Below are 19,043 nucleotides of genomic sequence, written 5' to 3' on the forward strand. Positions count from 1 at the left end.
CTGATAGATCTAGGCAAATTAAATAGAAATCCTTTCCTTCTGGAAAGGAGTCACCATTTTAGATTCCATGAAGAACATTTGTGATTCATGGGAGGGGGTTGAAATAGCAACATGAACAGGAGTTTGGAAGAAATGGATTCCAACCCTCATGGATGACTTTGAGGGGTTCAAGGCTTCAGTGGAGGAAGGAACTGCAGATGCGGGGGAAATAGCAAGAGAACTAGAATTAGAAATGGAGCCTGAAGATGTGACTGAATTGCTGCAACCTCATGATCAAACTTGAATGGATGAGGGGTTGCTTCTTATGATGAGCAAAGAAAGTGGTTTCTTGAGATGGAAACTACTCTTGGTGAAGATGCTGTGAATATTGTTGAAATGACAACAAAGGATTTAGAATATTCCATAAACTGAGTTGATAAAGCAGTGACTGGGTTTGAGAGGATTGACTCCTATTTTTTAAGAAGTTCTACTGTGGGTAAAAATCTATCAAACAGCAATGCATGATACACAGAAATCTTGTGTTAACGAAAGAGTCAATCAAGCTAGCCAATTTCATTGTTGCCTTAACAAATTGCCACAGTCACCCCAAGCTTCAGTAACCACAACCCTGATCAGTCTAGCAGCCATCCAACACCAAGGCAAGACTCTCCACCAGCAAAAAGATTACAACTCCCTGAAAGCTCAGATAATCGTTAGCATATTTTGGCAATAAAGCATTTTTTAATTAAGATATGTACATTTTTGAGACATAGAGCTATTACATACTTAATAGACTATGATACAAACATAACTTTTATATTCACTGGAAAATCAAAAAATTTATGTGACTTGCTTCATTGCAATATTTGCTCTTTTTGTCATATTTGCCTTTTTTGTTCTATTTTTGAGACAGTCTCCGTCACTCAGGCTGGAGTACAGTGGCACAATCTCGGCTCACTGCAACCTCCACCTCCAGGGTTCAAGCGATTCTCATGCCTCAGCCTCCCGAGTAGCTGGAATTAGCAGGCATGTGCCACTACACCTGGCTAATTTTTTTTTTTTTGTATTTTTAGTAGAGACAGGGTTTCACGATGGTGGCCAGGCTGGTCTCAAACTCCTGACCTCAGGTGATCTGCCTTTCTCAGCCTCCCAAAGTGCTAGGATTACAAGTGTGAGCCACCGTACCTGGTCTGTTTTTACTTTCTTATGGTGGTCTGGAACCAAACCTGCATTATCTTTGAGGTATACCCGTATATTGATCTTGCATTGTGAAAGTCTTGCTGAATGTGTATGTTTTTATACATCTACAATTTTTTTATTGTACACATATATTATCTACTCACAACAATGGTGATGTGAAAATCTCAGGTAGGCATTTATCCCCTAGGAAGCCTGCCCCACTCCCCCACCGGGATTTACCCGAGGGAGGTAGGAGAGGGGAGCATTACCCCATCTTAAACTTTTTGGGAGCAGCAGTAGGAATCTGTGTCTCCCATAGGCTGGAATAGAACATAGCCTAGCACATCTTAGCCTCCTTAAATGACTTTATTGACAGAATGAAGGAAGAAGTGAAGCGGGGGTGAGCAAGCAGCCAGCACCTCCTTCCTCTGAAGAGCCTGCTGCAGGCAGGTTTCCCTGTTGTCTAAGCTGTGATCTGCTGTCCTGGAGCATTTACCTGCTCATGCTGGTTTTGCACTGTGGGGAGAGAGAAGACAGCTAATCTTTCTTCCCCAAGACAGCCTTTCAGATAGATGTTGACAGCCAGAATGGCAGATGTACTTGGAAGGGCTTTGTAAACTCAAGGAGAATAGAGATGCTTGTTGCTGTTTTTATCATCTTGGCTTTTAATCTTGTGCTGTCCCCTGCCACAAATCTCCTCTATGGATCCCACACCCTTTCTCCAAGCCAGCGGCTTCTTCGGGGCCTCTCTAGTTTTCCTCTTAGAAACTTTACTAAGTGGGACCGGGTACAGTGGCTCACACCTGTAATCCCAGCACTTTGGGAGGCCAAGGCGGGTGGATCACTTGAGGTCAGGAGTTCGAGACCAGCCTGGCCAACGTGGTGAAACCCCATCTACTAAAAATACAAAAATTAGCTGGGCGTGGTGGCAGGTGCCTGTAGTCCCAGCTACTCGGGAGGCTAAGGCAGGAGAATCACTTGAACCCGGGAGGTGGAGGTTGCAGTGAGCTGAGATCGTGCCACCTCACTCCAGCCTGAGTGACAGAGTGAGACTTCATCTCAAAAAAAAAAAAAAAAAAAAATTTAAAACCCTCAAGATTTGGCCTGCGTACGTGTCTGTTTTGGACAGCATCCGACTCAGTCTTAGCTGACTTCTAGTGTTTAATGTGGCCCTTCAAACCATGCTTTGCTCTTGAAAACATTCTACAGCCAGACTTCGAGTGAGACAAAACTACCCTATCATATCCCTGCAGTTTTGTTGATTTTTATTGTCCTATAGTCCGACAGAGCTCATCGATTTGAAAATTCTTTTAATGGCCTGTGTTTATTTCTAAATCATTAGCTTGTAAACTCCCAGGGCATAGAGGCTAGTGGATTGTTCTTGAATATGCCGTCTTCACTGTGGTCTTAAATGTTGCTTAGGGGCCAGGCGCAGTGGCTCACGCCTGTAATCCCAGCACTTTGGGAGGCCGAGGTGGGCGGATCATGAGGTCAGGGGATCGAGACCATCCTGGCTAACATGGTGAAACCCTGTCTTTACTAAAAAAATACAAAAAAAGTAGCTGGGCGTGGTAGTGGGCGCCTGTAGTCCTAGCTACTTGGGAGGCTCAGGCGGGAGAATGGTGTGAACCTGGGAGGCGGAGCTTGCAGTGAGCCGAGATCACACCACTGCACTCCAGCCTGGGAGACAGAGCGAGACTCTGTCTCAAAAAAAAAAAATGTTGCTTAGGGTCCTGGTCCTCCAGGACTTTCCACATCTTGGCTTCCTGCTTGATTTGATCACGACGGGGAATAACCTATGGTGTGGTGGAAAGAAAGGTGCTGACTTTGGATTTATTAGCGAAGGTTAGTGCTGTTGACCCGGTTTCTATCCAGATGGTGTCAGATACTTAATGTAGGAGGTTCCCACATTTATAATCACAACAGCTCAACAAGGAGGGAGTTACTACCCTCACTTAATGGACGAAGAGATCAAGGCTTCAGTATATATATACACACACACATATATACATATATATATATACACACACACAAATAAACACACACACACACACACACACACACACACACACACTTTGCTGCCCAGTCCTGGAGTGCAGTGGCATGGTCTTGGGTCACTGCAACCTCCACCTTCTGGGTTCAAGCAATTCTCCTGCCTCAGCCTCCCAAATAGCTGGGATTACAGGTGCCTGCCACCACACCTGGCTGATTTTTTGTATTTTTAGTAGAGATGGGGTTTCACCATGTTGGCCAGGCTGGTCTTGAATTCCTGACCTTGTGATCTGCCCACCTCAGCCTCCAAAAGCACTGCGATTACAGGTGTGAACCACCGCGCCTGGCCTTTTTTTTTTTTTTTTTTTTTTGGAGACAGACTCTCACTGTGTCTCACTCTAGCCCAGGCTAGAGTGCAGTGGCATGATCTCAGCTCACTGCAACCTCCGCCTCCAGGGTTCCAGTGATTCTCCTGCCCCAGCCTCCCCAGTAGCTGGGATTACAGGTGTCCACCACCATGCCTGGCTAATTTTTGTATTTTCAATAGAGACAGGTTTCACCATGTTGGCCAGGCTGGTCTCGAACTCCTGACCTCAGGTGATCCATCTGCTTTGGCCTCCCAAAGTGCTGGGATTTACAGGCGTGAGTCACTGTGCCCAGCCAAAGACTTCAGCATTTAAGTAACCTGCCTCCCGGTCACCCAGCCAGTGTGTGCTGGAACTAGGATTCAAACCCAAGTCTGTCTTTTGATCAAACCACACACTCTTTCCATTGACCATGTGGCCCCCAGCCCCAGTGCGCAATGCTGGATGTTATCATATCCCTAGGAGGGGCCAGGAGCCAGGGTCCAAGTAACTTGGTGGGTTTCTGCGTCTGAGAAATGAAGCTGGTGAGACGGCGGTTCCTTCACTGTTTTCCAAGGGCTGCCACGGCTTTGATCTTGACAGCAACCAAGATGTATCTCCCCACTTTGCAGATGAAAAAACTGAGGCCCAGAGAGGTTAATTCAATGGTTCAGGCAGAGCACCTGTTTTATGTTGGAGCTGGAAATCAAACCCTCATGTGCCAACAGCATGCCCAGGCCCTTGGCTGTGTGTGGCGTGGACTTGCCTACCACATGGGCATGGCCAGGCCCCTGTGGTGCAGTGGAGAGATGAGCCTTTTTTATTTCAAAATACACAGCACTTCTTGGCCGGTCACAGTGGCTCATGCCTGTAATCCCAGCACTTCGGAAGGCTGAGGCGGGTAGATCACTTGAGCTCAGGAGTGAGCCACTGTGCCCGGCACTGTATGTTACTCTCTTAGAGATATGGCCAACTCGTGAGATCTGTAACCATCAGCTTTTACTAGATTATGCTGCAGTAACAAACAAACTGCTACAAATCTCAGTGGCCTGTGGCAACCAAAGATCATTTCTTGTTCATGTGTCATGTTGACTAGGGCTGGCTGTGACTGTGCCCCAGCCCCGTGGGTGGTCCTCATTCTAGGATCTCAGTGGAGGAAGTAGGTCCTATAAGGTCCTTGCAGCAGAGGGAGGGAGCACACTGGCTCTTAAATCTTAATGCTCAGATAAGACACCATCACTTACATACCATTGGCCAAAGCATTTCGTGTGGCTATGCCTGACATCACTGAGGAGGGAAAGCACCCAGGGGGAAGTTGCTGTTACACCACAAGTCACGTGGCAGTGGGCAGCGATGTGTGACGCCTCCTCCAGGGAGCCTAGATGGTAGTTGGGAGCGGCAGCAGCATATTCCATGTGACTCCGGGAACCCACAGCACAGCCGTGCTGGCACTCACATGGTTGGGCACTTTCTCACCCCTTCCATATCTCAGAGATCTGGTGGATTTCTATGAAACTTGTTTTCTAAACCTAGACTGAGTTTTTATACTATCATAAGCGGATACTGATTGAGAGCTAGATTAAAATACCTTCCTATAGACATTTGTCTTTCTCTTATTTTATTTGAGACAGGGTCTCACTGTCACCCAGGCTGGAGTGCAGTGGTGCAATCATAGCTCATTGGAGCCTTGACCTCCTGAGCTCAAGGGATCCTCCCAAAGAGGTGGGACCACAGGCATACACCACCACACCCACCCAGCCAATTTTTTATTTTTTGTAGAGACAGGATCTTGCTACACTGCCCAGGTTGATCTCGAACTCCTGCACTCAAACGATCCTCCCACCTTGGCCTCCCAAAGTGCTGGGATTATAGGCGTGAGCCACTGCACTACACATTTGTCTTTAAATGTAACACTTAGCCGGGTGCGGTGGCTCATGCCTGTAATCCCAGCACTTTGGGAGGCCGAGGCGGGCGGATCACCTGAGGTCGGGAGTTCAAGACCAGCCTGGCCAACATGGAGAAACCCCGTCTCTATTAAAAATACGAAAATTAGCTGGGCATGGTGGCAGGCACCTGTAATCCCAGCTACTCGGGAAGCTGATACAGAAGAATCTCTTGAACCTGGGCGGGGAGGTTGCAGTGAGCCAAGATCGCACCATTGCACTCCAGCCTGGGTGACAGAGCGAGATTCCGTCTCTAAATAAATAAATAAATGTAACACTACATTAAAAAAAAAAAAACTCAGCCTTATGAAAGTGATGTTGCTGAAAACATAACCGTGGAATCCAGTAGCGGCCATTAGTGCAGATGTGCGGGTCACTGCAGGAAGACAGCTGGAGAGCGCTGTTGGGTGTGTACAGTGGAGAAAGACACCTCCCAGGAGCTACTGCCAGCCAAGTGGCTGTCATCATCTCACAGCACACAAAACAGATGCTTACTACACAGAGAACTCTTTACATATTAAGTATTTCCTTTTCTTTTTTTTTTTTTTTTTTTTTTTGAGACGGAGTCTCACTCTGTCGCCCAGGCTGAAGTGCAATGGCACGATCTTGGCTCACTGCAAGCGCGGCCTCCCGAGTTCACGCCATTCTCCTGCCTCAGCCTCCCAAGTAGCTGGAATTACAGGCGCCTGCCACCACACCCAGCTAATTTTTATAGTTTTAGTCAAGAGAGACGAGGTTTCACCATGTTGGCCAGGCTGGTCTCGAACTCCTGACCTCAAGTGATCCACCCACCTTGGCCTCCCAAAGTGCTGGGATTACAGGCGTGAGCCACCGTGCCTTGTCAAGAACCCTTTACATATTGAGCATTTTCATAAATATTTAAACCTGGATTCCTGAACCCTTGGGTCACATCTGCAGACCATGCAGTTGGCCATTGCGGAAGATATTAAAAGCATATTAAACACCCACTGCGTGCCCGTGGTCGGGAGGAAAAACAGTTGATGCTACAGCTTAGTTTTCCAGGAATTCAGTATCCCTGAGTCAGGCAGCCTTATCTGTCATCCTAGAACTCCAGGACAGCCCCAGGTGGTGGTGGGAGGGGCCGCGGCTGGGAGATGGAGCTGCTCTGAGCCTGCAGATCAGGGTAGCATTCCTGGGAGGCGCCTTCCAGGCGGAGGGGAAATTGCTCATGTGTTCTGGGAACTGGGAGTGACTGGGTGTGGCAGGAGTGTGAGGCATGGCAGGAGGTGAGCCTGAAAAAGAGGCTGATCCCTCAGAGCAGGACAGGTTTTACCCAAGGCTGCAGGCCAGTGTCTAACCGTCTCTAGATCCGTCCTGGTTTAGCTTCTTCCAAATAGTTTTGTGTCTGTGTGAGAGTGTGTGTGAAACGGAGTTTTGCTGTGTTGCCCAGGTTGGTCTTGAACTCCTGGGCTCAAGCGACTCTCCCACCTTGGCCTCCCAAAGTGCTGGGATTACAGGCATGAGCAACGGTGCCGGCTCTAAATGGTTTTAAGGGCACGGTACCTACCTCAAGCTAACGTGCAGGCAGGCACGAGGTAGCTGGAATTCTAGCCTAGGATTCTCTCTTCAGCAATTCTTGCCTTAAGACCTCACCTTAGACGTTTGCTCATTCACAGATCCCTCCCCTTCTCAGAGGGAGCTGTGTTACCAAGCCTTGGCTTGTACCTCCAAGGCATGCAGTGGATGGGCTGAGCTCCCTGCAGGGAGTCAGGCGGGTGTGTGGGGGGCATGAAGGTGAGCAGGACACTGTCCCTTCCTCCCTCCCTCCCACGGATGCTCTTCCTGGCTGGTAGCCATGTGGACACCTGGGGGGAAGCTGTTCTGTGTGGCAGAGTCACTGTGTTGTGTCTGGTACTGGGGCCCTTGCCAGGGTAGGTCAGTGACTCGTCCAGGCCCTGGAGGCTGCTGCTGTCCCCTCCTCGTGCAGAGGAGGTGGGGCTGGCAGTCAAAGCCCAGGCTCCCTCCCTCCCTCTAGACTCAGAACAGCCCAGGAACCCAGCTCGAGGTCTGGAGGAAGTGATGTGTGCATTGGGTCTTGCAGCATAGATAGGTTTTGAGTGGACGGAGAGGTTAGCGAAGGGTGTTCCAAGTAAGCAAAGCACGGAACTAGGAAGTCACTGGCTGCAGCAGGGAAGTCACACAAAGGGACAACCTACCACAGACTGGGTGAGCTGCAGAGGGAGGATGGACTAAACTCCAACTTCAGGGTCATTCTGGTTGTTTTTTTTTAAGACAGGGTCTCACTTGGTCATCCAGGCTGGAGTGCAGTGGCTCAATCATAGCTCACTCCAGCCTTGAACCCCTGGGCCCAAGCGATCCTCCCACCTCAGCCTCCGAGGAGCTGGGACTACAGGCGTGTACCACCGTGCCTGTCTAATTTGTATTTTTTTGTAGAGATAGGGTCTCACTATGCTGCCCAAGCTGGTCTTGAATTCCTAGGCTCAAGCCCTCCTCCCACCTCAGTTTCCCAAAGTGCTGGGATTACAGGTGCATGCCACCATGCCCAGCTAATTTTTATTTTTGGTAGAGATAGGGTCTCACTCTGCTGCCCAGGCTGGTCTTGAACTCCTGCCTCCATTTCCTAAATTGTTGGGATTACAGGCCTGAGCCACTGCGCCCAGCCTTGAGGCCCATTCTTGTCTGCGGAGCGGAGGGGACTTTATCATTTAGAAAAGGATCTTTTAAGTCATCTCTTTTAAGAAACCTCATGGTCCATTTGCATACTGAATTCATTAAACTCATCGGCCTGACCGTGTTCCTCAGGACTGGGCTGGAATTTCCCTGTGTTAGTGGAAGAGGGCACGGGGAGAGGACTGAGAGTCTTGGTCCCTGTGATACAGCTCTGATGAGTGGAGGAACACTGGGGTTTTTGGTTTTTATGCCGGTTTAGATAAAATGACATGGATACACGTGGAGTGGTTTTTTTTTTGTTTTGTTCTGAGATGGAGTCTCGCTCTGTCGCCAGGCTGGAGTGCAGTGGCGTGATCTCGGCTCACTGCAACCTCCGCCTCCTGGGTTCAAGCAATTCTCCTGTCTCAGCCTCCTGAGTAGCTGGCATTACAGGCGCCTGCCACCATGCCCAGCTAATTTTTGTATTTTTAGTAGAGACAGGGTTTCACCATGTTGACCAGGCTGGTCTGCATCTCCTGACCTTGTGATCCACCTGCCTTGGCCTCCCAAAGTGCTGGGATTACATGTGTCAGCCACCACGCCCGGCTCAGTGGAGTGGTTTTAAAACCCCGATGTCCACGGGGCTGGTTCCTTCTGCTGGCTGTAGGGGAGAATCTACTGTGTCCCTGTCCCAGCTTCTGGTGGTTTCCTGGTCATCTTCTTCTTTGTAGATCATCAGCCCAGTCTCTCCTTCATCGCTCTGTGACATCCTACCTGTCTACATGTCTGTTTCTGTGTCCAGGTTTCTCCTCCTTATTGGATCCAACTGGACGAGGGCCCAGGCTAATGACCTTGCCTTACCTTGATCACCTGCAGAGACCCTAGCTCCAAATAAGGTCACCTTCACAGGTATTGGGGGTCAGGACTTCATCATCTTTCAAGAGACACAATTCAACCCATTATAGCCCCGAAGTGTGCCGTGCAAATTACCAAACCCCACATCCTGGGGAATAACCCAAACAGGAGACAGGAGGACAGAGTTCAGGATCCTTCCAGATCCCAGCCCTTGCCTCCAGGAGACGCAGCCACCCGGTACCCTGAGTCGGAATACCTCGGAAGTGAGGGGCCCTCCCTAGGCAGATCCTAAGCCAGAAAGAGAAGCCTCTGTGTGGCCATCAAGCGGTACGGACAGCAGCCAGGGCGTCTGCCCAGCTTCCTGGACAGACTCTGCTACCCACCTGCCTCTCTTAGAAGAGCCCCAGGTTGCGTTCCAATTCATCTGGAGAAGCAACTCCAAATCCGTTGCTTACTCTAGACATCTATAATATGTGGGCTTAGGTACAGTTGAAACAGTGCCATTTAGACAGTTCCCAAAATTTGTAATAGATACTGAGAAAGATACATGATACGACAGGGAAAGAAAACACAACACACTATCTTACGTATAGGCTGATTTCAAGTACGTACATACACACACGCGTTTTAAGCAGCTTGATTGAGATATAATTCACATACCATATAATTCACCCATTTAAAGTCTGGAGTTCATTGACTTTTAGGATATTCACAAAGTTGCACAGCTGTCACCACAGACAATTGTAAAATGTTTTCATCACCCCAAAAGGAAATCCCACACCCTTCAGTTGGCATCCACCAGCCCCTCCTTCCCACCCACCCCCAGTCTGAGACCACTCTTAATGTATAATACATCTGTCTCTTGTTTGCCTGTGTGTCTGCATTTCATGTAACTTTTTTTTTTTTTTTTTTTTTTGAGACGGAGTCTTGCTCTGTTGCCAGGCTGGAGTACAGTGGTGTGATCTCAGCTCACTGCATCCTCCACCTCCGGAGTACAAATGAAGCAATTCTCCTGCCTCAGCCTCCTGAGTAGCTGAGATTACAGGTGCACGCCACCATGCCCGGCTAATTTTTATATTTTTAGTAGAGATGGGGTTTCATCATCTTGACCAGGCTGGTCTTAAACTCTTGACCTCATGATCTGCCCACCTCGGCCTCCCAAAGTGCTGGGATTACAGGTGTGAGCCACCGCACCTGACCACAACTCTATTTTTTTTTTATATAATTAGGAAAAAAAAATAGAAATAAAGACCTGATAGTCTGACTCCTGCCGGTGAGTGGAGGATTTCAATTATACTTTTAAATTTTTTTTCTATATTTTTGATATTTTTCTGATCACACAATGAGCATGAGTTGCTAATAATGGGGGAGGGGGTTATTTTAAAAACAAGGCATGGTCTTGTCATATTAATAGTCCTTGTAGGCAAGGCATGGTGGCTCATGCCTGTAATCTCGCCTGACCCCTGAGGTCAGGAGTTCAAGACCAGCCTGGCCAACATGACGAAACCCCGTCTCCACTAAAAATACAAAAAAAAATTAGCTGGGCATGGTAGCACACTCCTGTAGTCTCAGCTACTTGGGAAGCTGAGGCAGGAGAATTGTTTGAACCCGGGAGGTGGAGGCTGCAGTGAGCTGAGACTGCGCCACTGCACTCCAGCCTGGGCAACAGAGCGAGCCTCCATCTCAAAAAAAAGTCCTTGCATATTGTTCTGAGATTCTACTCAACACCAAATTCACAACCTTGTTTTTTGTTGTTGTTGTTGTTGTTTAATTTGAGACATGGTCTCGCTGTGTTGCCCAGGCTGGAGTGCAGTTGTACGAACACAGCTCACTGCAGCCTCGAACTGCTAGGCTCAGGCAGTCCTCCCACCTCAGCCTCCCAAGTAGCTGGTATTACAGGTGCATTGCCACCCCGCCCAGCTAATTTTTTTGTTTTTTGTAAAATTTTTATTTTTAAATTTTAATTTGTAGATAGCTCATTATTTTGCCCAGGCTGGTCTTGAACTCCCGGGCTCAAGCCATCCTCCTGTCTCTGGCTCCCAAAGTGCTATGATTACAGGCGTGAGCCACCACACCTGGCCCAGAATCACAGCCTTATCTTATCGGGTTGAGGGGGTGGAAATGTGTCTGAGTTCCAAACAATTGACTTCAAATTGGAATCTTGGTGCACAGCTTGTTAGAAGTTGGAAATGCTTGCATTGCGCTAGGCTGCTATGTGTTCGATTTTCTAGGCCCAGCTCCCACTAGCCATCGTCCCCCAGTTCTGAGCGCCCCACATCCTTAATCAGGAGACCTCTCTCAGCCCTTAACAAACTGCCCGGTGGCTCAGGTGAGAGGCCCTGTAATTAAACCGCATCCTTTGCCTCTGTAATAACATCGGAGACAGCATAGTTCTAGGAGGGGACAGACGGAATATATAATTTCCTGTCCTTTGCCTGAGCCAGTATGACATTGGTACATGTGCAGTCTTGCGTGTTTCGGCTGTAAAGTGCGATCTGTTGTCTCAGCAAGTGTGTAGGTAAGCTAAATATTCTAACAAGTCAGTCCAACCATGGCAGGCTCTTTGCATATGCGTCCAGCATAGTTGATGAACAGACGTCTACACTAGAGGAAACTGGCTCAGTTAGTCAGTTCACAAAACCAATCCTGGCCACCATCGCAAAACCTTGCCAGTTGCCTAATCTGGAATCCCCGGGACCGTCCTCAATTCACCTGGTTCTTCTGGGCCTCACGTCAACTGTGTGTGTCGCTGATCTCTCCAGCCGCCCTCTCCTCCTCCTCGACACCCACAACCACTGCCCAGCGCATCTCACTCGGATGAAAGCAGTGACGTCCGAGGGTTCTCTTCCTCCCTGCCCCCTCCTGTGCTCTTTCCACCCTGACCGCTGCTCAGGTGATGAGGGTCTCCCTGCACCATGCACCCTTGTGCCCCTCAAAATCTCACCCCACTTGATTGTCCAGCTGCGTCACCCACAGCTCCTGCATATGTATCCGCGTTCCCACCTGGCAGACTCTCGTGGGTCCCCTATGCCCCATGGTGTGTTGTAGCCGTGTTGGTGGACTCTTAATCTGGACTCCAGGAATAGAGCACAAGCTGACATGCAAATGAGTGTCTTAAAACAGAACACATAGGCCAGACGCAGTGGCTCACGCCTGTAATCCCCGCACTTTGGGAGGCTGAGGCGGGCAGATCACCTGAGGTCAGGAGTTTGAGACCAGCCTGGCCAACATGATAAAACCTCGTCTCTACTAAAAATACAAAAATTAGTCTGGCATGGTGGTAGGCACCTGTAATTCCAGCTACTTGGGAGGCTGAGGGCAAGAATCGCTTGAACCTGGGAGGCAGAGGTTGCAGTGAGCTGAGATCGTGCTACTGCACTCCAGTCTGGGCGACAGAGCAAGACTCTGTCTCAAAAAAAGGAGAATTTTATGAAATTCTTTGCTCCTGGGATTTGAATGTGTTCGTCCGTTTACATGCAGCATCTTACCCGTCCACCTGGGTGAAATGCTTTTTAAGACTCTGCTCTAAGGTCACAACTTTACTGCCTGAAGTTCCCTTCTGCATGTCCCCAGGGATTTAATTACTTGTTAATTACATACCTGTTTCCCTCCTAGACCCTGAGCTTCTGGGGGTAGGAACTGTCTCTTCCCACCCACCTCTGATCCCCAGCAGTGTCTAGCACATGGCCAGCTCTTAAGTCAGCATTTGGAGAAGACAAAAGACCAGGAAGGGCACGCCAGACCATTCTCTATGGAAGACCCACCCAGTGTTCCCTGCTGTATAGTGAATGGCTCCATACTCCCAAATCTCTGCTCCTCCCTTGTTTACCTTCATGAACAGGGTCCTTTTGTGTTTGCAGGCATTTCCTCTAAGAGGCTGAAGCCCAGTTGTCAAGCATCTCCCTTGCTACGGGAATTCACTAGATGTGTAATGCTTTGTAAATTACCTCTTGACAAATGTTGAGCTCTTTGTTTTTCTTTTCTTTCTTTCCTTCCCTTTCAGATTGATGCACTGAGTAAAAGAAGCAAGGAAGCTGAAGCAGCTTTCTTGAATGTCTACAAAAGATTGATTGACGTCCCAGGTAAGCCCCGGCAGTAATGGCCCACCAGTGGGGGGCGTTGTGTCTGGTGAGTCGGTGGGTTTTTGGCTCATTCTTCTTGGCTTTCCTAAGGAAAATAAATACACCATCAGTGGCAACTTCCCCCCAAGAAACCAGGGAGTGCAGGACACATGAATTCTTCACAACCCAGACTTTGGGTACGGAGGGAAATTGGATGCACTTGTTGAAGTACTCACGTAATCTCTAGGGGATGACTTCGTAAAAGCAGAGATCCAAATCTCTGGGGCTACAGCATAAAACCCTGCACGTACTGCAGAGAAGATGCAGACCTGATGTGTGTATGCTGTGTGGAAGTCCCTCATATTGCCCAAAGCCACCTTTAAGACTTTAGGAATGGCCCTACTAAGACACCTGGAGTGTCCCGCTCCCCTGCCAGGTCATCCAAGATCAGTGGCCCCTGGACAAGCCCTTCACTTAAGGGTTATGGGCAGAGGGTAACTGATAATCCTTGCAGCTACAACCAAGTATATCAGTTGTTTCTTTTATTTTTTTTTTCTAATTTTATTTATTTATTTTTGAGACAGGGTCTCGCTCTGTCGCCCAGGCTGGAGTGCAGTGGCACAATCTCCGCTCACTGCAACCTGCACCTCCCGGGCTCAAGCGATCCTCCCACCTCAACCTCCCAAGTGGCTGGGAGGTACGTGCCACCACATTCAGCTAATTTTTGTATTTTTTGTACAATGAGTGCGATGAGGTCTCACTTTATTGCCCAGGCTGGTCTCGAACTCCTGGGCTCAAGCTATCCTCCCACCTCAGCCTCCTAAAGTGCTGTGAGGTTACATGCAGGAGCCACCACGCCTGGCCCTGTTTCTTCTTTTAGAGGGATTGAAGAATTAAAATTTAAATATGTTTGTGAGGCATTCTAAGAGGTGATGGCTTCCGATTCTTTATTCTGGAAAAGTGAGAAGGCAGGTAGAGTGCCTTGAACTCTCTGGTCCTGTTTGTGGGTCCTCGATTGCCTTAGAATCTGGAGTAAGGTGATGGACATAACTATGTGGGGCCCAGCTCAGCCCTGGAGAGATGCTGATCAGAAAATTAGGAAAGTCACTTGATGCCTTTTTCTGCCAAGCAAAGAATTGGAATTACCACCACCCTCCCCTCCCCACCCATTACAGTTGTGCCCTTGCCCTTGTTAGCAATTCTCTGAATATCATTGACATCATTAGAGCTACATTAACAGAGCGAGGCAGACTCAGGTCTCCTTTGTACCTGTACTTGTGTTCTGATTCAGGTCTACCACGGGCTTTGCTGTCCCCTCTTGGAGCTGGGATTAATAGAGGTCACACCAAACACGGGATGGCAGAAAGCACTTCGGACAGGGAATGAGGAGACCCAGATTCTCCTTCCCTGGATGACATTCCTTTTCCTCTCTGGACTTCAGTGTTCTCATCTGTAAAATGGAACAGGGTCAGGGAACAGCCTAATCGTAGAGAATGGTTTGCTTTGTTCTAAACTTTTGCTGTCTTAGGAGCTTATCTAGTTATTGGTTCCAAATTCTAGCCTTTTGGTTTTCTGTGAGAGTTTGTATCTGACTAGGAGTTCCCTGAAGAACCTGACTGAGCTTCACGAGGAGGCTCCTTCACAGTAAAATGGATCAGAGTGTTACCACTGGAGGGTGTCCAGGTTCTTGGCGTTTTGAGCAATGAATTGGACAAAATGCACAAAGCAAGGAAAGAATGAAGCAACAAAAGCAGATATTTACTGAAAATGAAAGTACACTCCACAGGGTGAGAGTGGGCTGAGCAGCCGCTCAAGGGCCCAGATACAGATTCTTCTCGGGTCTAAATATCCCCTTGAGGTTTCCCATTGGCAATTGGTGTTCACCCCATGTAAATGAAGTGGTGGCCCTCATTCAGTCTGATCAGTTGCAGAAAGCAACCAACCAGAGGCTGAAGTGAAGTTATAAAGGTCACACTCCTATGCAAACATCTTGATTGGTTGCGGAAAGTAACCAATCAGAGGCTAAATTGAAGTTACAAAGTTGTACTTCTATGCGAACGAAGACTTGGCCCTGCAATCAGTCTGGTTGGTTGCAACCAATCAGAGGCTGAAGTTACAAAGTTACGCTTCTCTGCAAACATCTGATTGGTTGCAGAAAGCAACTAATCAAAGGTACTTTCAATTTCCCATCTGCAGGGCAGAAAAGGTGGAGGTTTGCAAAGGAAGTAGACGCTGGTCCTTTTGTTACTTAGGCGTGGCAAGTGGGGGTTTTTCCTTCGATTTAGTTCTAGGAAGTCAGGGTGAATCAGCCTTTGGTTCCCTGCCTGCAGACCCTATTTTCCTGCCTCAAGAGCACTGTCCCTCGGGCATCAGCAGCCTGGCGGGCATCACTGGCATTTTCTTGTGCATAAGGTAGTGACTGAGAATTTTCTCTCTGGACTATGTCATGTCCATACTGACGCAGGGATAAAGAATTTACAGAAAAAGCATGACCTGGGCTTTGAGAAATTTTATTTTGTGTTTCGAAAGAGTTCATTCTTTGACTTTTTGTTGGTTCCTCAGGCTCAGGAAGGTTCTGCTCCATTCTATTCCAAGAAGTTCTTGCTACCACTTCTGGGAGCAGGATCCCAGAAGGGGAGTGTTTTCCAGCTGAGAACTTTGTCCAGTTGGTGATTTAGTCGGAAGAAGACTGGCTTACTTCATCTTTGCCAGAGACCCAAAGACTGTTTAGCTGCTGTTTTCTAAATAATATGTAATCTCTTTTCTTTCTTTTTTTTTTTTTTTTTTTTTTTTCTGAGACAGAGTCGCACTCTGTCAAAGAGGCTGGAGTGCAGTGACGTGATCTTGGCTCACTGCAACCTTCGCCTCCCAGGTTCAAGCAATTCTCCTGCCTCAGCCTCCCACATAGCTGTGATTACAGGCACCCATCACGACACCCAGCTAATTTTTGTACTTTAGTAGAGACGGGGTTTCGCCATGTTGGCCAGGCTGGTCTCAAACTCCTGACCTCAGGTGATCCGCCTGCCTCAGCCTCCCAAAGCGCTAGGATTACAGGCGTGAGCCACCATGCCCAGCCTAGCTGCTGTTTTCTAAATAACCTATAATCTCTTTTCAAAAAGTCAAATTTGTACCTCAATTTTTCCCTAGTGAAATTTTCCAACTGGGCAGTCACTTTAAAACATTGCTAGGTTTCTTTCTCTGCAGTTACGTTCTGTGTTAATTTCCCATAGAAAAAAGACCGTTTTTCTCATCAACGTTTCCTCTTTACCTGAGCCAACCTTGTCCATGTACATGTACAAATTTTATAGAATTTTGATCATAGCATGGGTATATATTCATATTCTGCCTTTCTCACTTAATATTATGATTCTTATTATTACCATAAGCATTTTCCTATATTGGTAATATTCTTCACAATTTTTATTTCTGGCCAGAGAATTGAAGTTTGCAGTTTAAATTGATGGATGGTGGGAGCAAAGAATGTTTGATGTTTTCTGTAATACTAAAAGTCAATCAGAATACATCTACATTCCACATAGATCCCTTTCACCCACCGCTTCCCAGGTATTTCTTACAAATGCTGTGATCTGCCACATCTAACAAGTTACTTGCAAAGCAGGAATGGTGCTCGGAGCACTCTCCCTGTGTTTTGAAGTCTGATTATTGCTCAGATGCAATCATTCTGTGGCTGAGGCTTACAGGAAGGGCCCGGTCAATAGTGATGATGCATTTACTGACAGTCACTCAGTCGAGGGGAGTCGGGGTGCCTTAACTGTCTGCATACTTCAGGCCTTAATCCAGTGGAATCCAGAAACATTAGTAGGGTGCAGTAAGTTCTGCTAGTTGCAAGAGACAGCAACTCACACTGTCACAGGAAAAGGGAGGAAGCCCTTGGGAATAATGCAACAGGCATTCCAGCTATATGCCACACAGCCCTGCTCCTGGATCACAGGGAGAGCCGCCAAGCTGGCCCCAGGAACAGCGGAGCCAGAGTCTCACCCAGCCCAGGAGTGACAGGCACCTGACCGCACCAGCTCCCACCTGCTTCCCCTTCCTGAAGTTTTATTTATTTGTGCATTTCCTTGTTGCTTATCTCTGGGTCTCATTAGAGTGACAGCTCCATGAGGATAGGGCTTTGCATTGTGGCTCTCTGCCCAGTGCCTGGCACACAACAGGTGGGACATAGTGAATGACTGAAGGAGTCAATGGACCCAAATTCCCGCCACTCCCACTGAGTCCTCAGCAGCGGAGTTCACCAAGGGTTGCACTGGTGACTCTCAGAGCTTTGTCCCTGGTCCAGGTCTCACTCCTGAGTGCCAGCTTGCATATCTGACTGCCGCCTGGACTTTCCCACTGGGATGGCTGGTGGGCACCCACCTGATGTGTCCGGCAGAAGCCGTCTTCTTACTGCCTGCCTTCTTTTGGCGGGTAGCATCACCTCCCACCTTACTGCTCATGTTCTGAGCTTTTTGTTTTTCTTGAGATGGGGTCTTGCTCTATCACCTGGGCTCAAGTGCAATGGTGTGATCTCCGCACACTGCAACCTCTGCCTTCTGGGTTCAAGCGATTCTCGTGCCTCAGCCTCCCAAGTAGCTGGGATTACAGGCGTGCGCCACCACACCTGGCTAATTTTTGTATTTTTAGTAGAGATGAGTTTTCACCATGTTGGCCGGGCTGGTCTCGAACTCCTGACCTCAGATGATCCGCCCCCCTCAGCCTCCAAAAGTGCTGGGATTACAGGCGTGAGCACCATGCCTGGCCTGTGTTCTGAGCATTTTGTCACCAACTCTGGCCATCCAACCTCTAGGATGTCTCAATTCCAGCCACTTGCCTTCACCCAAACTCCTGCCCTACAGTCTGCAGTTCACGGTGGCATGAGTCTAAGTGCTTACAGGGCGGCCAGACTCTTCCTGGCTAATCGCCACCGACCCCTCTGGATTAACCTGTTGAGACGCCACTTCCTGACAGAGAGGTCTTCCTGGCCTCCCCAGCTGGTTTAGGGGACCCTTCCCATGCACACACACACCCTGGCCGGGGACCCTGCCATTCACTTCATCATAATTCCTTGGTAACTGTTTGGCCGAGAGACTGGTTCAGTGCGGTTTTGTCCCTATTTCCTTTATATCCACCCCAGTGCCTGCCATGTGGCAGAAACTCCATAAATATTGCTAAATGAATGCAGAAATTAATGAATCAAATTATTTCTTCAAAATGCTGAGTGTTTTTTTGGTCTCAGGCTCCTACTGTTCCCACTGAACCACCCTCCCGAGGTTGAAGCTTCCCAGTGAGGGCGAGCACTGCAGAGCACTAAGACAAGTCAATTGCAGGAGAACAGAATGTATCTTTTATTGAGTTGTAGCAGTTTAATAGCTGTCTGAACTCTCATTTTACTTTGTTGTCATTCTATAAAGATTTACATGCCTGCATGGACATTTATACAGCACTTAGCATTCGGAGTTGCCCAAACCAGCACATGTGCATCTGAGGACTTCGGCTCTGGGGCCGGCCCTTGGTGTCTGGGATCTGTGTTTGGTTTACCAGACGTCCCGCCGGCGCCCCAAGCCCAGCACACAGGGTAGGATCTCCCTCCACCCCAGCTTATCCCCCACCATCCCCACCCGCCCCACTTCTCCCTTGGTGTTCTGGCTCCTCCCTCTTCTTCATCTTCCACCTTCTATAATTTCCTTCACATTAAAGACACAAAGGCCAGGCATGGTGGTTCACGCCTGTAACCCCAGCACTTTGGGAGGCCGAAGCAGGCAGATCACCTGAGATCACGACTTTGCAACTAGCCTGGCCACATGGTGAAACCTCGTCTCTACTAAAAAAATACAAGACATTAGGTGGGCGTGGTGGTGGGCACCTGTAATCCCAGCTACTTGGGAGGCTGTGGCAGGACAGTCGGTTGAACCCAAGAGGTGGAGGTTGCAGTGAGCCGAGATTGTACTACTGCACTCCAGCCTGGGTGACAGAGCAAGACTGTCTAAAAAATAAATAAAATTAAAAAAAAAAGACACCAAATAAGCATTTAGCAATACAGTAGCATTGAACCCTCATGG

The 19,043-nt window shown here is 48.4% G+C and overlaps 1 protein-coding gene across 25 annotated transcripts in view, besides 3 other annotated features; it reads left to right on the plus strand.

The window, feature by feature from the left end:
* Positions 1 to 19,043, plus strand: part of CUX1 (cut like homeobox 1) — a 467,952-nt gene that overhangs the window by 241,406 nt on the left and 207,503 nt on the right. For all 25 annotated transcript variants that reach the window (NM_001913.5, NM_181500.4, NM_001202545.3 and 22 more), the window contains one exon: positions 12,927 to 13,005. In NM_001913.5, the coding sequence (NP_001904.2) occupies positions 12,927 to 13,005 (79 nt within the window). The remainder of the gene's footprint in view (positions 1 to 12,926; positions 13,006 to 19,043) is intronic.
* Positions 4,801 to 5,100: an enhancer, noted in NCBI's record as "active region_26419". NCBI's record gives its function as "activates an Ori minimal core promoter by ATAC-STARR-seq in GM12878 lymphoblastoid cells {active_cell/tissue: GM12878}" and the evidence as "EXISTENCE:reporter gene assay evidence [ECO:0000049][PMID:35858748]".
* Positions 6,394 to 7,110: an enhancer, noted in NCBI's record as "H3K27ac-H3K4me1 hESC enhancer chr7:101707086-101707802 (GRCh37/hg19 assembly coordinates)". NCBI's record gives its function as "activates a minimal SCP1, AML or CMV promoter by ChIP-STARR-seq in primed H9 embryonic stem cells {active_cell/tissue: H9 hESC(primed)}" and the evidence as "EXISTENCE:reporter gene assay evidence [ECO:0000049][PMID:30033119]".
* Positions 10,398 to 10,588: a silencer, noted in NCBI's record as "fragment chr7:101711090-101711280 (GRCh37/hg19 assembly coordinates)". NCBI's record gives its function as "represses an EF-1alpha promoter that drives an FKBP-Casp9 reporter gene in an ReSE screen in K562 erythroleukemia cells {active_cell/tissue: K562}" and the evidence as "EXISTENCE:reporter gene assay evidence [ECO:0000049][PMID:32094911]".

This window comes from Homo sapiens, chromosome 7 (assembly GCF_000001405.40).
Source record: "Homo sapiens chromosome 7, GRCh38.p14 Primary Assembly".
NCBI lineage: Eukaryota > Metazoa > Chordata > Mammalia > Primates > Hominidae > Homo > Homo sapiens.